The sequence below is a fragment of the Homo sapiens genome, chromosome 1, assembly GCF_000001405.40.
Source record: "Homo sapiens chromosome 1, GRCh38.p14 Primary Assembly".
Lineage (NCBI taxonomy): Eukaryota > Metazoa > Chordata > Mammalia > Primates > Hominidae > Homo > Homo sapiens.
This window is the reverse complement of record NC_000001.11, coordinates 117,444,205-117,468,350: the sequence shown is the minus strand read 5'-3', so window position 1 is coordinate 117,468,350 and position 24,146 is coordinate 117,444,205. Positions and strand designations below refer to the sequence as shown.

The 24,146-nt window shown below is 35.3% G+C and overlaps 1 protein-coding gene across 4 annotated transcripts in view; it reads right to left on the bottom strand.

The window, feature by feature from the left end:
* Positions 1-24,146, bottom strand: part of MAN1A2 (mannosidase alpha class 1A member 2) — a 161,424-nt gene that overhangs the window by 60,522 nt on the left and 76,756 nt on the right. For 3 of the 4 annotated variants that reach the window (NM_006699.5, XM_006710302.4, XM_011540536.4), the window contains exons 7-8: positions 7,739-7,862; positions 1,924-2,017 (exon numbers count right to left, since the gene is read on the bottom strand). The exons of the other annotated variant lie outside the window; for it this stretch is intronic. In NM_006699.5, coding sequence (NP_006690.1) covers positions 1,924-2,017; positions 7,739-7,862 — 218 coding nt within the window. The remainder of the gene's footprint in view (positions 1-1,923; positions 2,018-7,738; positions 7,863-24,146) is intronic. 4 annotated transcript variants of the gene reach the window in all.

The following is a 24,146-nucleotide window of genomic DNA, read 5'->3' as shown; positions in this document are numbered from 1 at the left end:
CTCAAAAAGCATACAAATATATACACTCTGGAGAGTGGGTACAGGAAGATGTTACCCCCATGCTGTTCTCTTGATAATGAGTGAGTTCTCACAAGATCTGATGGTTTTATAAGGGGCTTTTCCCCGCCTTGCTTGGCACTTCTCCTTCCTGCCACCATGTGAAGAAGGATGTGTTTGCTTCCCCTTCTGCCATGATTGTAAGTTTTCTGAGGCTTCCCCAGCCCTGTGGAACTGTGAGTCAATTAAACCTCTATCCTTTATAAATTACCCAGTCTCAGGCAGTTCTTTATAGCAGCATGAGAACAGACTAATACAGAGGTTAACAATAATATACAGGAAAACTGACATCTTTTTTTTGTAGTTTCTGTTTTACATGACATGCTTAGAAAAGGCTTTCCTGATTATATATTCAACCCTTTTTTTAGTACTTTTATGATTTCATCTTTTACATTTAAATAGTAATACCATATAGAATATACACTGGCATATAGTCTAAGACAGGAACTGAACATAATTTTTCATATACATTATTATATCATTATATTATCATAATATTCTCAAATCTCAATACAACTCACAGGGGTAAAGATTTATGATTGATAGAATTCATCCAAATTACTAAGTAGACATCCAATCCAGTCACTCTTATCTGAAATAAGAAAACTACGTTTTTACATTTTAGAAATGCAGCTCTCAGGGTTTTGTTTTTCCAGAAAATATCATTCCCACTCAGTCTAGGCATTAGAGCTTTTATCTTCTTCAAAATAAAGAGAAAAATGAGTCATATGTAAATAATTTCAGGAAACAGGAAAAGTAAGTATAAAAAGAGTCAAAGAAGATTGAGATCTATTCCCAGATCCATGAAAGACATAATTATATTGACCTATCTGCTTTCCTTTCATAAAATAAAAGACAATTTCCTAGAAAGGAACAAAAAGACAATTCCAGGGCAAATGTTTTCCTATTCTTGGTACTCACACCAGCTTATTTTCTTACTGGCAGAATCAGCAGTGTTTTCAATACTAAAATTAAATGATCATTACTTTTGTCTCTTATTTACTACTTAAGATTTCATTAGTCTCAAAAATAACTGAATCATGTTTTATTAGCGGCAAAGTTGCAATCTCTATTATTTGTTTTTGTTTTCCTAACTTTTAAAAGAGAATAGCATTGATAAACCTACAATTACTAAAATTCTGTAAGTTCCACATTTCCACAGAAATATTAGTTGTTACTTTTAAAAATCAATTCCTTCAAAAATAAATGAGTTCTAATAAGAAAAATTACCCTCTCCCTAAACAAAATACTTTCCCCTCAGGCAGAGGGAATCATTTTTACCACAGTTTCATATAACAATTGGTTCCTTCCTGTACAGTAACATTTATGTGTCAGCCTATCCTGCCAGCCTGTGAATTCAGGCCAAGCCCTATGTTCTTTCTCCATCTCAATCTCTTCTAAGAACTTAGCACAGAGACTGGTAAATAATGAAGGCCAGGATGCCCTCTTCTAAAATGAATGAACAGACATGGCTTATCCAAGAACAACTGCCCCCCTTCTAGTAAATACTCATTTGTTTTTCATACTCCTCCTCTACCTCCCTCTCCTAAGCAGTGCTTTTATTTACATGAAGATATAATTTATTAATAAGAGTTTTTAAGTACAACCTTCAAACTGCCACACTATATTTTAGCAATACAGGAAATAAAATACTCTTAGGAGACATGTTATTAACATTTCCATTTTATAAGTGGGAAAACTGAAGCTAAGAGAGATCAGAAACATGCCTAAGAACAGCACCAGCAGACCACAAGGTTAGACACTGAGGGTTTCTAACTCCACGTAGTGTACTTTTTACAACATCAAGCAAAGAGTTTTCAGACAAATAATTTTTTAAGAAAGCCTCAGGTATACTAGAATACTTACACTGACCCCAGCGCCCTGTTCTGGGGTTCAAATAATTTGGATAAAGACCATTTGGACGATCCATTTTCTGAAGTAGTTTCCGAATGTGCATAACCTGAGTAAAATAAAATTAAGAATGCAATTAATAAAAATAAGTGTCATCAAGGCTTGGTTTTAATGTAGGCTTTGTGTTTTTTCTTACTCAGAATCTACACCTATTCCCTGCCTTTGTGTGTGTGTTGGAGGGGCAGGGGGAAGTCAGGGAAGCCTTCTATTTCTTAAATGACTCATTTTTATAAGATGATATGTGTTCATTATTTTAAAATCAAGCAATAATAAAAATAATACAGAGAAAACTGCACAGATAGAAACCATTTTAAATCTCAACATGCTACTACCTAGAAATACCATCTGAAACATCAGTTATTTTAAACATCATTCTAGACACAGTCAACACATATATATTCAAATATAAGAACAGAAATAACTTCACAGGAATTGAATCATAAAATGCCATTGTATTTTGAAAAGTTATTAATTTGAATTGAACAGATAAAAAAGTAAATGAAGTAAAACAAACTGTTGAACTTTAAATATTGTTCCCACAATAGATATCTTTAAGTTCCTGAAATTCCAAATTTTAAAATATCTCCCTGAGAGTAAGGGGGAAAGAAAAATCATGAAATATATTAAGAAGCTGGAGACTTTCCTAGGGATTTATTTTGATTCAACTATAGATTAGGTGAACTTTGTAAGTGCTTTTAAGGGGGCCCCTGGAGGTGGGAGGAGGTGTTATGTTCCTTGTACTCTTATTTGTTTGAGAATATTGTCATTACATTTGATGAATAACCTGGCTGGTATAAACTTGGGAAAACTTTCTTTTTCAGAGGACCTGATATATACTTCACTTTTCTGGACCTGAGTACAATATCAATTCTTCTGCCACAAGGTTTCCCATCGTCATTCATTTGGCTGGATTTTGTCTTTAAGTAGTTTTAGGAATGGACTCAGGGATGCTGTCTATATTACCTGTGTTCTTTCACATTTGAGACCAACACTATGTATAACAATCTCAATCTGAAAAATTCCATAGACCACTTTTTAGATAGTTCTGAATGATGTTATAAAAGGTGAGAAAGTTAACTCTTCTGTCATCCAAAAACTGTATACTATTCTTTTTCTTCCTTATCTATCATTTTCTTTCTGTCTCCTTTTATTTCCACACATTTACTAGCTTTTCTCAATTTTGTCTTCTAAGCTCCTTATATTTTGAACACTGTTTTTCTTTGTATTGCTTCCATTTTGGCCTTCATTTTGTTGATAACTATTTTTTCTTATACTTTGTTACTGATATCACATCTTATTGTCTCTGAGCTCTTGTATCTCTGTTTATATACTTGTTCTACAGAGATGAAGGCTTTACTATGTTTTCTCTCATGGTGATATTTGCTTGGAATTTTCAATTGCTCTTTTACGTATTTTGTGCCCACAATTTTCCCTCCTTTTCCTTTTTTCTGGTAATATCTTTGTATAAATTCTGTACCTGTTCTTTTTTAACAAATTACTCATTACTATTTTCCTGAATGAAAGTTTTGACATAAAACACCAGGTAAGAGTCCAGACATAAATGTTTTTTTTAGACTTTGCTTCTCCCCAGCCACTTGAGATTGGAAATGCAGCACAATAGTGAATCTGTCATTCATTCCCTTCCCTCACCAAAGTTCGCAGGCGCAAACAGCTTGTCTGTGAGAAACCTTACTCGATTCTGTTTTTCCAGCTTCTCAACACATTATATCTAGTAAGGTCCAAAGAAGTACTCACCATTAGCCTGTGATCCTGTTCTCATTGCTGCTCATGAGAATTTGAGTTTTGTATGTCAAGTTACACCATCTAATTTAGAGAATTGTGCTCTACTGGCTTTGTATTTTTCAGTCTGCAGACCCAAACATCCTCTCTTCCATTTATACCAAACCTCTCTCTGATCTTTACTGCTTATATGCCTACTTTTCTTCCTATTTGGTGTTATGAAGCATCAAGTATCCCTTAATTTTGTTAGAAATGGAATTTGCAGTGTTCTGTTTCTTTTTTTTTTGACAGAGTCTTGCTCTGTCGCCCAGGCTGGAGTGCAATGGCTCGATCTCAGTTCATTGCAACCTCTGCTTCCCAGGCTTCAGTGATCCTCCCACCTCAGCCTCCCAAGTAGCTGGGGAGTACAGGCACGCCCCACCACACATGGCTAATTTTTGGTAGAGAAGTGGTTTCACCATGTTGCCCAGGCTTGTCTCGAATTCCTGAGCTCAAGCGATCCACCCACCTCAGCCTCCCAAAGTGCTGGTACTACAGGTGTGAACCACTGTGCCCAGCAGTGTTTCTTCTTCTTGCAGCTTTTAGGTTAATTCCTATGATTTAGGTCTTCTACTTCAGGAAGGCCCATACGTTAAATTATGTTTATTTTACAAATCTATTATCTTTTTAATCTCTGCTTTTCCTTTGTTTTGACTATGACTATCTCTTGCTTTTATTCCATGTAAGTAATTCAGTTTTTAACTATGTGCAACGAGTTCTTTGTTGTTTTCCATTAGCTATGGGGATACATCATTTTAGGTCTCAGCTTGTTTCTTTAGCTCCACAATATTTTTGTATCACTTTATTGTTTTATTTTGGTTCTGAGTTCTAACTCTGTTAAATTTAATTTCTATTATGGTATGAATTACTCATGGTGACTTTTTTTTTTTACTGTTTTTAAAATTTGAAACTGGATTCTTTATCAGTCTTCTACATGCTATATACCACTCTGCTTTTGTTTCTAGCAGTATGTTTGCACAATTGCCATGCTTTCTGTTTTATCTTGTTCACATTTACCAGGGTCAGTTCTGACCTGAACTTTGTTGATTTCTCCTTGAGTTCCTCGTGTGTGTGTGTGTGTGTGTATGTGTGTGTTTCTCCCTTCTTGGATACAATTTGAGATCTGGAGTACTAGTGTACTTCTACTTGATCACTTGAAGCCTATGTGTTCAGGAAGGATGAGAGGTGAGAACTCTGCTGGAGCTGTAGGCAATTACATATTTGACGCCCTGGGCACTGGTCTCCCTGGCAAGACAGATAGGGAATACTAGGAGTTGGCTGACTCTCTTTTCCCAGAAAGGTTTCAGGATACGGTAGGAAGCAGACTTATGTCTCATTCCAGAAATCAGAAATCTTTTCGTTTTTGTTTATTTTGGTTATCAAATATGACATGAAGTTACATTTTTTCCTTCTTTTATTGCCTTTGATGAATTTGTACTGTCTTTAATATTTTTATTAATATAATTGATATAAAAATAATTTTTAACATAATTAATATAAAAATATTTAATTTTTATTATTTATTTAGTCAGAACAGGGAAAATTATGTCATCTAGTTCCATTTTCCTGAAAATTCTTCTCTGTTGATGAAGTACTTCATACACAGAAAGGAATATACATATATATCTCGACTCTACTCACATCTCAATTTAAGAAATACAACACTACGAACACCTTTGATGGTCTGTTCACTGCCCATTCACATACTATTCCCCATATCCCAGATGTATCTGTAGTCTTGAGTTTCATATTTGTCATTATCTTGACTTTGTGAAAGCAAATTATACGAATTGGGTCATTCTTGTCATACCCAACTAAATCAGAGTCAAGGGGCCCAGCAGAAAATCACCTGCGGCACATAACACCAGCTCCAAAAATTACGTTTTCCACAAGCTCAGCTGCTATAACCCTAAGATTATAGTTTTATCTACTGCCATCACCAATCAGAGCCAGACAGCTTCTAGAAGCTTTACTCGTGTCAACACATTTCCTTTCAAAACTATACATAACATTTCTAATAAAACTTCCAACCTTCTCTTTGTTCTCTGGATGTACTGAGGACCAACCACCCTACTCTGTGTGTATGCCCTGAATTGGAGTTCTGTGCTTCCAAATAAAACATTTAATTTAGAGATTCATCTCTATATATTATTTTTACTTCAACAATTTATCAAAACCATTTTGAATCCCTAACCAATATACTGTTCAGCTTTGTTTTGAACTTTATAAAAATTGTATCATATTCTTTTAACTAACAGATATAAACATAATTCATTTTTCATTACTATTTTGTATTTTATTATATAAATTGCCAATATAAACAATGCTTCTACGTATACAATGTAAATGTACATACCGAATAATGGAATTGCTGGGTTACAGGGTATTTTTACTAGGTAATATTTTTTGTTTCCCATTGTAAAAATCCTTCTTTACCCCAAGGGCATATATTTTTTTATTCTCAAAGTGTCAGGGTTTTATATTTTAAAGTTAAGCCTTTAATATTCCTGGAATTAACTATTATAATCCACAGTGCGACACTTGTTAAAACAAGTTTCTACATATATGTAGGTCTGTTTAAGAGCTATCTATTCTGTTTGTCAGTCTGTTTGTCCCTATTAACAAATACTATACTGTCAATGTTGATAACTGGGCAATGTAAATCCAGCCAGTGTGTTTTTCCTCACAAGTGTCTAGAATGTTTCTTTACTGTATAAATTCTAGAAGTGTCTTTTCGAGTTCCACTGGGAGGAAAAAGGCCATTAGAGATTTTATTGGCACTGAATTTATGCTATAAATCAATTTGGGGATGACTGAAATTTTTATGATATTGTTTACCTATATATAAATACGATATCTCTCCATTTATTTATATCCTCTTCAATATCATTTAATAAAGTTTTGTATTTTTAAATTTTTATTTTTAATTTTTATGGATATAAAGAGTTATACATATTTTGATACTAGCATATAATGTATAATGATAAAATTTGAGTAACTGAAACATCCATCACTTCAAACATTTATCATTTCTTCTGTTGGAAACATTCTACGTCTTCTCTTCTAGCTATTTTGAAATATACAACAAATCATTGTTATAGTCACTCTATTGTGCTATCAAACATTAGATCTTATTCATTCTATGTAACTGTACTTTTGTACCCACTAACCAACCCCTTTTTATCCTTCTCTCCTCACTACCCTTCCAAGCCTCTGATAACCACCATTCTATTCTCTACCTCCGTGAGATCAATTTATTTTAGCTCCCACATATGAATGAGAACACATAATACGTGTCTTTCTAAGCTTGGCTTATTTCACTTAACATAATGTCCTCCAGCAGTTCCATCCATATTGCTGCAAATGAAAGGATTTCATTCTTTTCCATGGCTGAGTAAAAATTTGAACTTTATCTTTTGTTAGATTTATTTGTAGGAAACATATATACTTTTGTTCTATTACATAAGATATCTTTTTGCAAAATGACATTTTCTTGCCTTTTGTAGCTGGTGTAGAGAAATGCTACTGATTTTTAACATCCATATTGATCATCTATTTAAAAAAACATATTAAACTCTTATTTCTAGTAATTTAAATATAGACTGTCTTAATATCTTAGGTCAATAATCACGTAATCTGTGAATAACTACTGTTTTCTTTCCTCCTTTTCAATTCCTAAACATCTGGTTATTTTGTTTTTCTTGTCTTACCAGGCTGGGTAGGTACCGCAGCACAATGCTGCATAAAAATAGCAGTGAAATTTTTGAAAAATGTAACAGTGGTTATAACTTCTCAAATAACAATACATATTTTAAATATGTTCTAAATAGAAAGGACATTTCTTTGAGTAACTTCAAAAGAAAAAATAAAGGCTACAGCCCTAATAAACATATATCTAGAAAGGCAAACCTTTTAAGCATTAATCAAATCTTTGGGCCAATCTTAAAGGACTCTTTATAACAAACAAAGAATAGAAGGCAAGAAAACAAACCTTTTTGTAGTAAGTCAGGTCCCCTGTCAAGTAGCTGAGGTGGATGAACTCCATATGTAGTGTACCAAATTCAGCCAGAATGCTGCTACCTGCAGATGCCCAGCCCCAGTTTCGCCCTACTCCACTGAATGAAAAGGAAAAGTAAAAGGAGACACAGGATTGGGAAAAGACCAAAACATTCGTTTAATGAATATGTAAATTTTAAATAGATCTCTTATAAATTATTATATCTGACACGATAGCTTATTTATATCTAAAATTGTATTAAAAATTTAAATAGGTAATAAATCCATGTTCTAAAAATTAAAACAGTAGTTTTTAAATCCAGTAAATACATTTCACCCATTCTCATCTCCATTCACCTCATCAGGCTCCACAGAAAATCACTTTCATTCGTTTCTTACATATTACTACAGAATGTTTTATGCAAATGTAGGCAATCCAAATATATATGCTCATTGTCCTCCTTTCTTAAACAAAACATAGCAAGTTGGTGGTCTTTCCATATCAGTTCATAAACAACTTTCTCAGTTTTTTTTTTTTTTTTACAGTTGTACGGAATTCCATAATATTAATGATTCTCAAGTGGAATGCCCCACCCTAGAGGCACATGAAAATGTGTGGGAGCATTTTGAGTTGTCTCAAAATTTGAATGTGCAACCTCCACTTATTGTGCCAGGTCCAAAGTTATAAACTGCCCTGTAGTGAATGATCGGGACAGTATCATACAATAAAGAACTGGCTTGCACCAAACGATGATAGTGCCTGTGTGAAAATTAATATATTACATAAATATACACAATTTAATAAATTCCCTATTGATGGTCCCTTGGGCTATTTCCAATATTTTGTTACCATGAACATTTTTCAGTGAATAATCTCATAAACATTTCATTTGTGCAGATATAATCTCTAGAATATGCTCTTGCGTTTTATTTTTTTAATCTGTCTAGTAATTTTTTATCTGAAGGCAAACTACATAAAATGAAAAATTGTAGAGGCTTTGAATGACATTATCTTCTAAAAAGGTTAAATTTCTTCTGAACACAGACTGAGTAAATGCAGATTACATTGTGTTTTAGGTTTTGTTAAAAATAGTCCATTTCCGTTTTTACCCCAACTTCCAGAAATGGCCCTGGGAATTTCAGTTGGAAGCCAGGGGTATTTACCAAGGGCACCTAAGCAGCCTAACCTCTGTTTCCCCACTAGCATGTGGCTGTTAAATTTCCTCCTTAGCCCTTAAATTTCTTCTGCTATTTTCTGCTGGGTTTCTTTGAGTCTTGCTTGCCCCATATATGTGGTTATGGAATCACCAATGACTTCAGGGAAATTTGTCCATAAATTTTGGGCTTTTCCTCTGCAATTTCTTTCTATATGAGATTTTGTCCCTATGTTTCAGTCATTTTAGCAGCTCTGGGGCCTGACCATTGTCTCCTCTGCCCGAAATGACTGCCACTTTAGATATGGCCTCTATTGCTCTGAACATGTTTTAGAACATATCCTCAGGGAAAAAGCCAATGTTTATATGGCGATGACCTTAGGATCACAGCCCCTCAAGCTCTACCTAATTGCATTTCAGTGTCTTCAAACCATTTGGTTTTATATATTTTGTCTAGCTTTCATGACTGCTTTTGGTAGAAGGGTAGTCTGATAAACAGTATTTCCTGGTTGGAACTGGAAGTCTAGATGATTCAAGCAGCAGAGTTCCTGGATTATTCCTACAAGAACTCTAGACCATTCTCTAGGATCTTGTCTTATTTTTTGGGAGAAGTATAAATATAAATATTTTTGCCAGGCGCGGTGGCTCACGCCAGTAATCCCAGCACTTCAGGAGGCCGAGGTGGGCAGATTACCTGAGGTCAGGAGTTCAAGACCAGCCTGGCTAACATGGTGAAACCCCATTTCTACTAAAAATACAAAAACTTAGCCGGACATGGTGGCAGGCGCCGTAATCCCAGCTACTCAGGAGGCTGAGGCAGGAGAATCGCTTAAACCCAGAATGCAGAGGTGGCAGTGAGCCAAGATTGCGCCATTGCATTCTAGTTTGGGCAACAAGAGCGAAACTCTGTCTCAAAAAAAAAAAAAAAAATATATATATATCTATATATATATATAGATATATATATATTTCTCATCTTATATTCACTTGTATTCTGTCAATTCAATATGTTATATTTTATTTGTGTTTAGAGAACATTAAAATAGATGTAAGAACATATCACAACCTTGCTTAAAGTTCCTTCATTGTTTGGTGCTATTTTTAAACTGTCTGAAAATATGGAAGGCAAATACCACTAGGATATTTTATAGCTAGAAGTGAGAATCAAAGAATAAATATGGATATAGTAACTACATAAGACAGTAATTCATTTCACAAATGTAAGTGTTTACTATGCTGTGAGAGAGTGGTGAACCTGACATATACTATTCCTGCTCCTACAATAAATAAGATCATTTTAAATAGTGATAGTTGCTGTGAAGAAAATTAAAAAGGAAAAATAGAATGTTGAGTACTAGAGATAGAAAGTGAGTTACAAAAAAGGCTTTTTACATATTATGTTCAGAGAAAATGTTTCTAAAATGATATGATTTGAACTGAGACCTGAATGATGAGGAGCCACTAATGAAAATATCTGGAAGAACAGAATTCCCAGTAAGGGAAACAGCAGATGTAATGGCCTTGAGGGAAAGGAAGGAGGCTAGTTTGGCTAGAGTTCAGAAAGTAAGGGGAAGTGAATGACACAGGATGAGGTTAGAAAGCAAGGTATAATCTGGACTATGAAATAATTTTGTAGGCCATGGTAAAATTTTAGTCTTTAAGTGTGATGGAAAGTCATGAATAACTTTAAGGATTATAACATAATACTTAAGGAATAAAGCATACCATTTAGAAAGATTAACTAGGTTTCAGCATAGCGGATGAATTATAGTGTGGTCAAGTATAAAAACAAAACTTAGGAAGTCCAACAGTTTGCCATTCTCTATAAAAAGAACATCTCGCCAAAAGTCAAAAAGTAACACTTTTCAAAATACTAAATTCTAAATAAGGTTTTTAAATTTTTTACATAGTGTCACAGGAAGAATCTAAAATATTAAATTTGATACTTACATATATCCTAGCAACTCAGAAAAATAAGAAAATCCCTAAGAACAAGATATAATGCTGCCGAGGACAAAATTTCCAACTATAAAATGATGATGAGCTGCCAAAAAATAACCGGATCATCATTTCATGCAAATGTTATGTTTTTTTCTCAACTGATCAAAATAAAAGGTCTGGATACTAAAATTTACGTATATACTCAGAGAACCTGAGTAACAAAAAATTTGCAATGAATACCAAAAAACAAAAACAAGCAAGCAAAACGTATGTTTCTCTTACCTGACCACCAGCAAAAGGAAAGATTCTAAAAATGTTTGGTAAACTCTTGACAGTAAATCACCCTAAGTGGTCTACAATCATATTAAATTGTTTTGATAATGAGTCTTCTATATTTTGGTTTGCATTTTGTTCAAAGTCAGTCGAATATATTTAATCAATGTATTGAAAGAATGGAGTAAAGCTTTCAGTAAACTGCAATTATTAGAAACAAAGCTTGCAAACACACTGATATTGAAATGCATTCCGACAAAAGCAAAGAATGAACTGAAGAAATTAAAACACTCAATGTGTAAGCTTAAGTTGAAGTATCTTCATTTGTAGGAATAATGGTTTGATGGAGCTCCTATTTTCAATTAGATTTATTTATATTGTATACTTCAATGGAATGAAATTGAGAAGCCCTATGATTCTGTATCATCTAAACTGGATGATTATTTAAAATAATTACAAATAAAAGTCAATGTAAAAATATCTCAGATTTGTGGAAGGTATTCTGAATGAAAGCAAAAGAATGGGATTTGTAAAAATATCTGGTCTGAAATATTTAAACATTTTAATATGCAAAAATTTAGAATTGAGAATATCCTAAAATTAAGCAGAATTTGCTCTGAGCAACTGTAGGGAGAATACCTTCTCTAATAAAAGCATACAAGAGTCAATTGAAAGTGCCAATAATTTCAAATTTAGATAAATACACAAGAATGTATGTTTTTAATAATTTCATTTTAGAAAATAGGTTTATAGCAGAATTATTTTACAGGATACCCAATAAAATAAAACCAATTTGTCAGTGATTAAATACTCAGAAAATTAAATAGTTTTAATTATTTCAGCTCCCCCATTCATTCTTAAATTGTACTCTTATGAACAACACACTATATGGTCATTCTCATTATATGATGCCATAATCTGGCTTATAAAACATTTTTAATATACTGTAAATATTTTATCTATGATATCATTTATGTGGCAACATATTGTTTTACCTTATGGACTACCAAATTTGCTTAACAAATGACCTTACTCTTGAACGTTCAACCTGTACTTATGATTTTGTGAAATACGCCGTGATAAACATAATTTTGTAGATGTCTTCCTTAGTCCATACATCCAATTTCTTCGGGCACATTAACAAAGGTTGAATTGCTGGGTCAAAAGAAACAAGCTTTAAGGGCTTTTGACAGATAATACACTAGTCTACAAGTAAAGCTGAAATGTAAGAATGGCTTTCTTCTCACCTTTTTATTATAGCAGATGCTTTAAAAATTTTTTAAGTAAAAACTTCCTTGTTTGACAGCAGATGAATATAACAGCTTTAATTTTTATTTTAAAATGAAGTCTGATTTTTGTTACATTTTCATTTAATTTGAGAGGATATGTAATATACTCATGATTTAAAATTTAAATGGCACTGAAAAAGCATAAAGTAAAAAAAAAAAAGTATCTCTCTAAGCCCTCTACCTCTTCCAATCACTCTCAGTACCAAAGCAATCTGTTAACACATTCTCATCTATCCTTCTGGAAAACTGCATAAGCATAATTTGAGTTGTCTATTACATTTTAAATACTCACTGGTCTCTTCTAATTTTAATTCTGTATTTTTACAAACTTTTTTCTAAATATGTTTTCAAAGTTAAGATTGTCCTTCAATTATAAGGTAATGTTATTTTTTGTTATTACACAGCCCCTCAGCCAAGTGTAGGATCTGGTTTATTTTTCTTTTTAAGTATATACTGACGTATAATTTACATACAAAAATGCATCCTTTCAGGTACACCATTCAATGGGTTATGACAAATGAAAACAAAGACTGGTATACAAACCAAGTCAATCCTTCCAAAACATGTCCTTATCCCTTTTGCAATCAACACACACACTTCCTCCACCAAGTCTCAAACAATTCTCAATTTGCTTCCTCTCACTACTGATTAGTCTTGCATGTTCTAGAATTTCATACAAACATCATACAGTATATGCTCCTGTGTTTGGCTCTTTCACTCAACATGTCTTTGAGATTCACCCATATTGCTGTGTGTCTCAGCAGTTAGATTCTTTTTATGGCTAAATGGTATTCCATTGGATGAATATGACAACTATTTACCTATATCCTATTGATGTGATAAACATTTGAAAAACAGTCAAACTGTTTTCCAAAGTGTCTCTACCATTTTACATCCTACCAACCTAAGTTTACTATCTTGCCTTTTCATTGTCTATTTTTCCCATTAGTTGTTTCCTTCTCTATTCCTGCCTTCATTTGGATTCAGTAGTTTTTAGTATTCCATTTTCTTTACCGGCTTATTTTTTTATGACTGCTCTAGGCATTACAACATAAACCATTAACCTTCCCACAGTAGACCTTTATATATTATACCACTTCACATATAATGTAAGGGCTTCACGTCTCCATACTATCCTCTGTGCTACTGTGGTAACAAATTTTTCTCCTATGTATACTATAGGCCCCACTATGCGAGTTATTATTTTTGCTTTAAACAAAGACCAAAACAGAAAAAATAAGCCTTTTATATTTATTCAAATATTTACTGCTTCCAGTGCCCTTCCCTTCTTTGTGTAAATCTGTTTTTCCATCTGTTGTCATTAGAAAGTTCCTTAAAATTTCTAACAATACAGGTATGCTGGCAATAAATTCTCTAAGCTTTTGTTTGCCTGAAAATGTCTTAATTTCACCTTTGTTTTTAAAGAATATTTTCAGTGGCTATAGAATTTGAGATCGACTTTTTTCTTTCAACACTTTCAAGATGGATTCGATTGTTTTCTGGATTGTATTGCTTATGATAAGAAGGAAGTATTTCTATTTTGGTTCCCCAATGTAAATGCCTTTCTTCTCTGGCTGTTTAACTTTTCTTTTTCTAGTCACAGATTTTCAGACGTCATGTTTCTTTATATTTATCCTGCTGGGTTCCATCAAATGTTGGAATCTGTGAATTTACAGCTGTTTAACAAATCTGAAAAATTTCTAGACATTACTTCTTTAAAAACAGGCATATCTCAGAGATATTATGGGCCTGGTTACAGACTACCTCCATAAAGCAAATATTGCAACAAAATGAGTCACACAAACTTTTTCGTATCTCAGTATATATAAAAGTTATATTTACATTATACTGTAGCCTTTTAAATGTGCAACAGCATTATGTGGAAATAATGTTCATATCTTAATTTGAAAAATACTTTATTGCTAAAAATGCAAATGATCATCTGAGACTTTCAGCAAGTCATACTCTTTTTTGATGGTGGAGGGTCTTGCCTTGATGACGATGGTTGCTGACTGATCAGGGTGGTGGCTGCTGAAGGCTGGGGTGGCTGGGGCAATTTCTTAAAATGAGACAACAATAAAGTCTGCTGTATTGATTGATTCTTCCTGTTTGATTTCTCTGCAAGACGAAAGATCTCTCTGTAGCATGTGATGCTGTTTGACAGCATTTTGTCCACAGTAAAAATTCTTTCCAACTTGGAGGCCACTCTCATATCCTGACACTGGCTGCATCAACTAAGTTTACGTAGTATTCTAAATCCTTATTGTCATTTTGACAATGTTCATAGCATCTTCACCAGGAATAGATTCCATCTCAAGAAACCACTTTCTCTGCTCATCTGTAAGAAGCAACTCCTCATCCATTCAAGTCTTATCATAAGACTGCAGTAATTTGGTCCCATCTTCAGGCCCCACTTCTAATTCTGGTTCTCTTGCTATTTCCACCACAGCTACAGTTACTTCCTCCACTTGAGTTTGAACCCTTCAAAATCACCCATGAGGACTGGAATCAAATTCTTCCAAACTCCTGTTTGATACTTTGACCTCCTCTCATGAATCACAAATGTTCTTAATGGCATCTAGAATAGTGACTCCTTTCCAGAAGATTTTCCATTTACTTTGCTGAGATCTGTCAGAGGAATCACTATATATGGCAGCTATAGCCTTACAAAATTCATTCTTTAAATAATAAGACTTGAGAGTCTTAATCACTCCTTGACCCATGGGCTGCAGAATGGATGTTGGCAGGCATGAAAACAACATTAATCTTGGGCATCTTCACTGTAGAAAATGGGTGACCAGGTACGCTGTCAATGAGCAGTAATATTTTGAAAGAGATTTTTGCTTAGCAGTAGGTTTCAACAGTGGGCTTAAACTCTGCCATCAACAGATGTGCTCTCATCTGAACTTTGTTGTTCCACTTACAGACCACACAGGGAGTAGACATAGCAAAATTCTTAAAGGTCCTAGGATTTTCAGAACAGTAAATGAGAACTAGCTTCAACTTAAAATCATCAGCTCTATCAGCCCCCAACAAGAGTCAGCCTGTCCTTGAAAGCCAAGCATTGACTTCTCTTTAGCTATGAGATGGCATCTTCTTCCAGTAGAAACCTGTTTCATCTACACTGAAAATCTGTTGTTTAGTGTAGCCACCTTCAACAATTACCTTAGCTAGATCTTCTGGATCACTTGCTGCAATTTCTACATCAGCACTTACTGCTTCACCTGTCACCTTTATGTTTTGGAGACAGCTTCCTTCTTTAAACTTTATAACCAACCTCTGTAAGCCTCAAACTCTTCTGCAGCTTCCTCACCTCTCTTAGCATTCACAGACGTGAAGAGAGTTAGGGCCTTGCTCTGCATTAGGCTTTGGCTTAAGAGAATGTTGTAGCTGGTTTCATCTTCTATACAGACCACTCAAACTTTCTCCATGTTGGCAATATAACTATTTCACTTTCTCATCATTCATGTGTTCACTGGCATAGCACTGTTAATTTCCTTCAAGAACTCTTCCTTTGCATTCACAACTACTCTAACTGTTTGGCACAAGAGGCCTAGTTTTTGGCATGCCTTCCTCACTAAGCTTAATTACTTCACATGCCTTCCTCACTAAGCTTAATTATTTCCAACTTTTTTTTTTTTTTGAGACAGAGTCTTGCTCTTGTCACCCAGGCTGGCGTGCAGTGGCGCAATCTTAGCTCACTGCAACCTCCGCCTCCCAGGTTCAAGTGATTCTCTTGCCTCAACCTCCCAAGTAGCTGGGATTACAGGCATGCACCACCATGCCCAGCGAGTTTCTGTATTTTTAGTAAAGATGGGGTTTCATCACATTGGCTAGGCTGGTCTCGAACTCCTGACCTCAGCTGATCCACCTTCCTCGGCCTCCCAAAGTGCTGGGATTACAGGTGTGAGCCACTGTGCCTGGCTGGGTTTTTTTCTGTTTTTTTGTTTTGTTTTGTTTTTTGAGACAGGGTCTGGCTCTGTCCCCCAGGCTGGAGTGCAGTGGCACAATTTCAGCTCGCTGCAAGCTCCGCCTCCTGGACTCACACAGTCCTCCTACCTTAGCTTCCCAAGTAGCTGGGGCTACAGGCATGCACCATCATGCTGCATTAGTCCATTTTCACACTGCTGATAAAGACATACCTGAGACTGGGCAATTCACAAAAGAAAGAAGTTTAATGGCCTTACAGTTCCACGTGGCTGGGGAGGCCTCACAATCATGGTGGAAGGTGAAAGGCACATCTCACATGGTGGCAGACAAGAGAAAAGAGCTTGTGTAACAAAACTCCCCTTTTTAAAACCATCAGATCTCGTGAGACTTATTCACTATCACAAGAATAGCATGATTCAATTACCTCCCGCTGAGTCCCTCCCACAACACATGGGAATTGAAGATGAGATTTGGGTGGGGACACAGCCAAACCACATCATTCGGCCCCTGGCCCCTCCCAAATCTCATGTCCTCACATTTCAAAACCAATCATGCCTTCCCAACAGTCCCCCAAAGTCTTATTTCAGCATTAACTCAAAAGTCCATGGTCCAAAGTCTCATCTGAAACAAGGCAAGTCCCCTCCGCCTACATGCCTGTAAAGTCAAAATCAAGTTAGTTACTTTATAGATACAATGGGTGTACAGGCATTAGGTAAATACAGCCATTCCAAATGGGATAAATTGGCCAAAACAAAGGGCTACAGGCCCCATGCAAGTCTGAAATCCATTGGGTCAGTCAAGTCTTAAATCTCCAAAATGATCTCCTTTGACTCCATGTCTCACATCCAGGTCACACTGATGCAAGAGGAGGACTCCCACAGCCTTGGGCAGCTCTGCCCCTATGGCTTTGCAGGGTATAGCCCAACCTCCTGGGTGCCTGAACTGGCTGGCATTGAGTACAGCTTTTCCAGGTGCATGATGCAAGCTGTTGGTGGATCTACCATTTTGGGGTCTGGAGGACAGTTGCCCTCTTCTCACAGCTCCACTAGGTGGTGCCCCAGCAGGTACTCTGTGTTGGGGCTCCAACCCCACATTTCCCTTCGGCCCTCCCCTAGCAGAGGTTCTCCATGAGAGAGAGTCGTGTCCCTGCAGCAAACTTCTACCTGGACAGGCAGGTATTTCCATACATCCTGTGAAATCTAGGCAGAGGTTCCCAAACCCCAATTCTTGACTTCTGTGCACTGGCAGGCTCAACACCACATGGAAGCTTGAGGCTTGCACCCTCTGAAGCCATAGTCTGAGCTTTAGGTTGGCCCCTTTCAGCCACAGCTAGAGAGGCTGGGATACAGGGCACCAAGTCCCTAGGCTGCACACAAGGGGACCCTGGGCCTGGCCCACGAAACCACTTTTTCCTCCTAGGCCTTGGGCCTGTGATGGGAGGGGCTGCCATGAAGACCTCTGACATGCCCTGGAGACATTTGCCCCATTGTCTTGGGGGTTAACATTCAGCTCCCTGTTACTTATGCAAATTTCTGCAGCAGGCTTGAATTTCTCCTCAGAAAACGGGCTTTTCTTTTCTGTCACATTGTCAGGCTGCAAATTTTCTGAACTTCTATGCTCTGCTTCCCTTATAAAACTGAATGCCTTTAACAGCACCCAAGTCACCTCTTGAATGCTTTGCTGCTTAGAAATTTCTTCCACCAGATACCCTAGATCATCTCTCTCAAGTTCAAGGCTCCACACATCTCTAGGGCAGGAGCAAAATGCCACCAGTCTCTTTGCTAAAACATAACAAGAGTCACCTTTGCTTCATTTCCCAAGAAGTTCCTCGTTTCCATCTGAGACCACTTCAGCCTGGTCTTTATTGTCTATATCGCTATCAGCATTTTAGGTAAAGCCATTCAACAAGTCTCAAGGAAGTTCCAAACTTTCCCACATTTTCCTGTCTTCTTCTTCTCCAACCTCTGCCTGTCACCCAGTTCCAAAGTTGTTCCACATTTTCAGGCATCTTTTCAGCGATGTCCCACTCTACTGGTACTTGCTGCTTCACCCATCACCTTTAAGTTTTGGAGGCAGATTCCTTCCTTAAACCTTGTGAACCAACCTCTGCAAGCCTCAAACTTTTCTCCTGCAGCTTCCTCACCTCTCTTAGCATTCACAGACGTGAAGAGAGTTAGGGCCTTCCTCTGCATTAGGCTTTGGCTTAAGAGAATGTTGTAGCTGGGTTCACCTTCTACACAGACCACTCAAACTTTCTCCATGTTGGCAATACGGCTATTTCACTTTCTCATCATTCTTGTGTTTCACTGGCATAGCATTGTTAATTTCCTTCAAGAACTCTTCCTTTGCATTCACAACTTGGCGGACTGTTTGGCACAAGAGGCCTAGCTTTTGGCCTATCTCAGCTTTTGACATGACTTTCTCACTAAGCTTAATTATTTCTAGCTTTTTTTTTTTTTTTTGAGACAGGGTCTGGCTCTGTCACCCAGGCTGGAGTGCAGTGGCAGGATCTCAGCTCACTGCAAGCTCTGCTTCCTGGGCTCAAGCAATCCTCCCACCTTGGCTTCCCAAGTAACTGGTACTACAGGCACACACCACCATGCTCAGCTAATTTTTGTATTTTTTGTAGAGGCAGGGTCTCACTATGTTGCCCAGGCTGGTCTCGAACTCCTAGGCTCAAGCAATCTGCATGCCTCAGCCTCCCAAAATGCTGGGATTACAGGTGTGAGCCACCACGCCCAGCCTATTTCTAACTTTTAATTTAAAGTGAGAGACATGCTATTCTTCTTGTCTCTTGAATACATCAAGGCCACTGAAAGGTTATTTATTGGCATTGTTCTGTCTCAGGGAGTAGGGAAGCCCAAGGAGAAGGAGAGAGAAGGGAGAATGGCCAATCTGTGGAGCCGTCAGAACAGAGACAACATTTAGTGATTAAGTTTGCCATCATCTATGACTGCTTGCTCATGGTGCCCTAGAGTAATAAGAAAGATCACCGATCACATATTACTATAACAGATGTAATAATAATGAAAAGTTTTAAAATATTGTGACAATTATCAAAATGTGATATATGCTGTTGGAAAAATAGCCCCGATAGACTTGCTCAACACAGAGTTGACACAAATCATCAATTTGTTTAAAAAAAAGAAAAAGGAAAAAAAGAATATCTGCAAAGAACAATTAAGTGAAGCACAATAAAACAATTCATGCTTGTAGTTTTTCTGCCACTCCTCCCACTCCCAAATTCGCCACTCCCATCACTCCATTACAGGTATGTTAAACCATCTGACACTGCCCCATAGGTCACTGGATATGCTTCTCTCCATACTCCAGCTTTTTTATTTCTCTTTCTGTGCTTCAGTTTAGGTGGTTTCTATTGTTTTGTCTTCAAGCTCACTGATCTTTTCTGATGCAGTGTCAAATCTGCCTTCAAGCTTGTCAAGTAAATTTTTTATTTCATATATTTCTCACCTTTAGAAGTTCCACTTTGGTCCTTTTTAAAATCTCTTTTCTCATTCTTCACATTTGCCTTTAAATCCTCAAGCACACTTACAATAGCTATGTAAAGTCCTTTACTGCTATCTCCATCACCTCTGTTATTTCCATGTCTGTTTCTATGAACAGATTTTTCTCTGGGCTACAGAATAATGAGCTACATTTTTCTGCTGCTTCTTTGCATGCCATAAAGTAAAGTAATTTTGGATTGGATTACGGATATTATAAAAGTATATTGTTGGATATCTGAATTTTATTTTCTTTCTTTAAAACATGTTCAGTTTTCTTTTAAACATATTCAGACAAGCAGAGAGCCAAATCATTAATAAGCTCCCGTTCAGAATTGCCGCAAGGAGAATAAAATATTCAGGAATAGAGCTAACAAGGGAAGTGAAGGGCCTCTTCAAGGAGAACTACAAACCACTGCTCCAGGAACTCAGAGAGGATACAAGCAGATGGGAGAACATTCCATGCTCATGGATAGAAAGAATCAATATCACGAAAATGACCATACTGCCCAAAACAATTTATAGATTCAATGCTATTTCCATTAAATCACTGACATTCTTCACAGAATTAGAAAAAACTATTTTAAAATTCATATGGAATCAAAAAAGAGCTCGGATAGCCAGGACATTCCTAAGCAAAAAGAACAAAGCTGGAGGCATCACATTACCCAACTTCAAACTATACTACTAATAGCAAAAAAATGTGCAATTTATATGACAAAGTACTAATCTAGCTAATACACAAAAATACCTTAAGGACTGATTTTTTAAAAAATAGCCAATAAAAAACAAACAAAGGACATAAAAAGGCTATCTACTGAATAAAATAAATTCAATCTCACTCAAAAATTAATAAACATTGGAACAAGATTTTATATTTATCTATCTGATAAATAAAAGTAAACCATATTTTCAAAAGGTTCGATAAGAGCCATTCTCACACACTTATTAAGGAAATGTCAACTGGCATATCCTCTCTAGAAGACAGTACCTATCAACAGAAAAAATGTATTTAATTCTTTGATCCACTATTTCTACTAAAGTCATACCAACACATGTCTATGTACACATACACACACACACCATTCCCAACATATGCAGGATACTTCTTCCAATATTTTTTGATAATATTAAAATCTAGAAATAATCTAATAGTTCACTAATACAGAATTAATTTTAAGTCACAACATTTTCATAAGCATTATATTATGAAGCTCTTAAAAATAATGAGATTATATATAAAGTGTTGATACAGAATAATTTTTTAGATCTATTGCTAAATGATGTAAAATGTCAATATTGTCAGACTGAATAACAAAATTTGTATTATGATCCAAACTATATGCTGTCTCCAAAAGCAGAACTATAGTTAAAACAATACAGTGAAGCTGAAAATAAATGGAAAAAAAGAGATAAACCATGAAAACAGTAAGCATAAAGTAGAGCAGCTACATTAATATCTGATAAACTTCAAGACAAAAACATTACCAGAGATGAAGACACAGTGGAATAACAAAAGGCTCAAGTAATCAGAAAGCATATAATAAACGTGTAAGTACTTAAGAGTAAAGCTTCGTCAAAATGCATGAAGCAAAAAATTGACAGAAATAGAGAAGAGACAATTCCACAATCATACTTGGGATATTTTGACACTTCGTTTCAGGAATGCATAAAACAATTATACCAAAAAAAAATCTGGAAAGATATACATGATCTAAACACCATTAACCACCTTAACCTAACTGATATATACAGAATGTTATACCCAACAACTGCAGAATACACTTCCTTATCAAGTGTATTTACCAAGAAAGACCATATGCGGAGCTATAAACAAGTTGTAATAAATTTGAAAGGATTCAAATTGTAATTTTTATGATCACAATGAAATTAAATTAGAAATCAAAACAATAAGATATCTAAGAAACGTCCTAAAATTTGGCAATTGAACCACACAATTATAAAAAACTAATGCATTGAAGAAAAAATTCTACAGGAAATGAGAAATTATTTTGAACTGAATAATAACAAAAAAAATCAAAATTTCTGGAATGCAGCTACAGCAGTCCTTGGAGGGAAATTTATAGCTCTATAGAAAAACAGTAGTTTATGGGGGGAAAAGAGAGAAAGATATAAGATCAGTGTAGAAAGATACAACCTACAGTTCCAATGTAAGGAGCCAGAAAAAGAGCAAAGTAGCTCCAATAAGAAAAGAGAAGGAAATAATAAAAATAAACCAGAAATCAATAAAACCAAAAAAAAGTAAAAATTAACAAAAACAGAAGTACTTTTTTGAAAAGATTAACAAAATTGACAAATGCCTCATTAAACTAGTAAAGAGAAAAGAAAGAATACAAATTACTAGAATCAGGAATGAAAGTGGTTGTTGCTATAGAATCTACAAAGATGAAAGGTAAAACAAAGTAACACAAGAACGACTTTACACCAAATTTTCTAATTTAAGTGAAATGAAGAAATTTCTTTAAAATTAACTAAAACTGACACAAAATAAAACAAAATCTGAATATAAGATATATGTTTATATATCATATATAAATATATATAAATTTATATATAAATTTTCTTTTATATGTATACATATAAATTTACATATATACATATATATATATATACACACACACAGACACACACACACATACACACACACACACACACAAATATGAAAATTTGGGCAGGGTGCAGTGGCTCACACCTGTAATCCTAGCACCTTGGGAGGCCAAGGAGGGAGGATCACTTGAGCTCGGGAGTTTGGGACCAGACTAGGCAAGACAGTGAGAGCCCACCTCTACAAAAATAAACAAAATTACCTAGGTGTGGTGTCACACACCTGTAGTCTCAGCTACTAGAGAGGCTGAGATGGGGGGATCACTTAAGCCCGGCAGGTCAAGGCTGCAGTGAGCTGTGATTGTGCCATTGTACTCCAGTCGATACAAAAGCGCAAGACCTTGTCTCTAAACCAGCCCCCTCCAAACACACACACACAAATTTTAATTTGTTATTAAAAACTTTCCAACAAAGAAAATTTCTGGCTCAGGTAGTTGCATTTAGGTCTATCTATCAAACAGTTAAGAAAGAAGTAACTACAGCACTCCACGAATTATTTCTGCAAACAAAAATTTTAATAATTTAATAATATCTCATTTAATAAGACCAGGTAACTCACACCAAAATCTGACAAAGGCATTCCAAAAATAAAATTCCTACCAATATCCATCATATAATTTCAAAGGGTATTAGGAAATAAAATACAGCAAAATATAAAAAGGATACATTATGGCCAAGGAATATCTAAGGAATTCAAGGTTGATTTAACATTTGAAAATCTTACAAGTAATTTACCATATTAAAAGAATAAAGGTGAAAAACCTTATGATTATCTCCATAGATGGAAAAAAAGTATCTGGCAACATTTAACATCCATTCATGATAAAACAACAACAAGAACATCTCAGTGAAATAGGAATAGAAGGAAATTTCCTCAATGTGATAAAGGAAATTGATATAACTGATGAAAACTCCACAACTAATGCCATACTTCAATTCTTTTAGAAAAGCAGTATTTCAAAGCTTTTATGGAAATCTCGAAGAATGTAAAAAATATAGATGGAGACAATTTTTTAACCAAGACTGTAAACTAAAAGTTATAAAACATATATTTGTATATATAAGCTTAAAACTTATGAGTCATATATTATTATAAAGACAACAGACCAACAGAAGAGTAGAGAGAGGAGAATTAATTATATAATCTACAAAACACTTTATAAATTAATTAGAAAAAGACAAAGAACTCAAGCAAGACTTAGGAATAGACAATTCACCAAAAAGCAAATCTACATGCCCAATAAATTTATGAAAAGGATGTTCAAAATTCACTAGTCAGAAAATACAATGAAGATTTTATAGCAACCATCGTGTCAAAAATTAAAAAGAATTTATACCTGCAGACATTTAGAGACTCTCACATATTGTTGGTGGAAATGTACTACAGCCTTTCTGGAACACATTTTGGCAATATCTATTAAATTTAAAAATACATATCCCTTTGATCCAGGAACGCTACATCTAGAAATCTGTCCCACAGATTAAAAAAAAAAAAAAAGCAGATGCTTTTTAATCCAGCAATTGTATTCTTGAGAACCATTTTCCAAGAAATAAAATTCCTACTACACAAGAACATGTATAACAGGATGCTATTGTAGCAATGTTTGTGGTAGGAAAATAATGGAAACAAATACCACTGATATGAAAATTAATGAATAAATTATAGTATAACTATCCCATTTCTCACT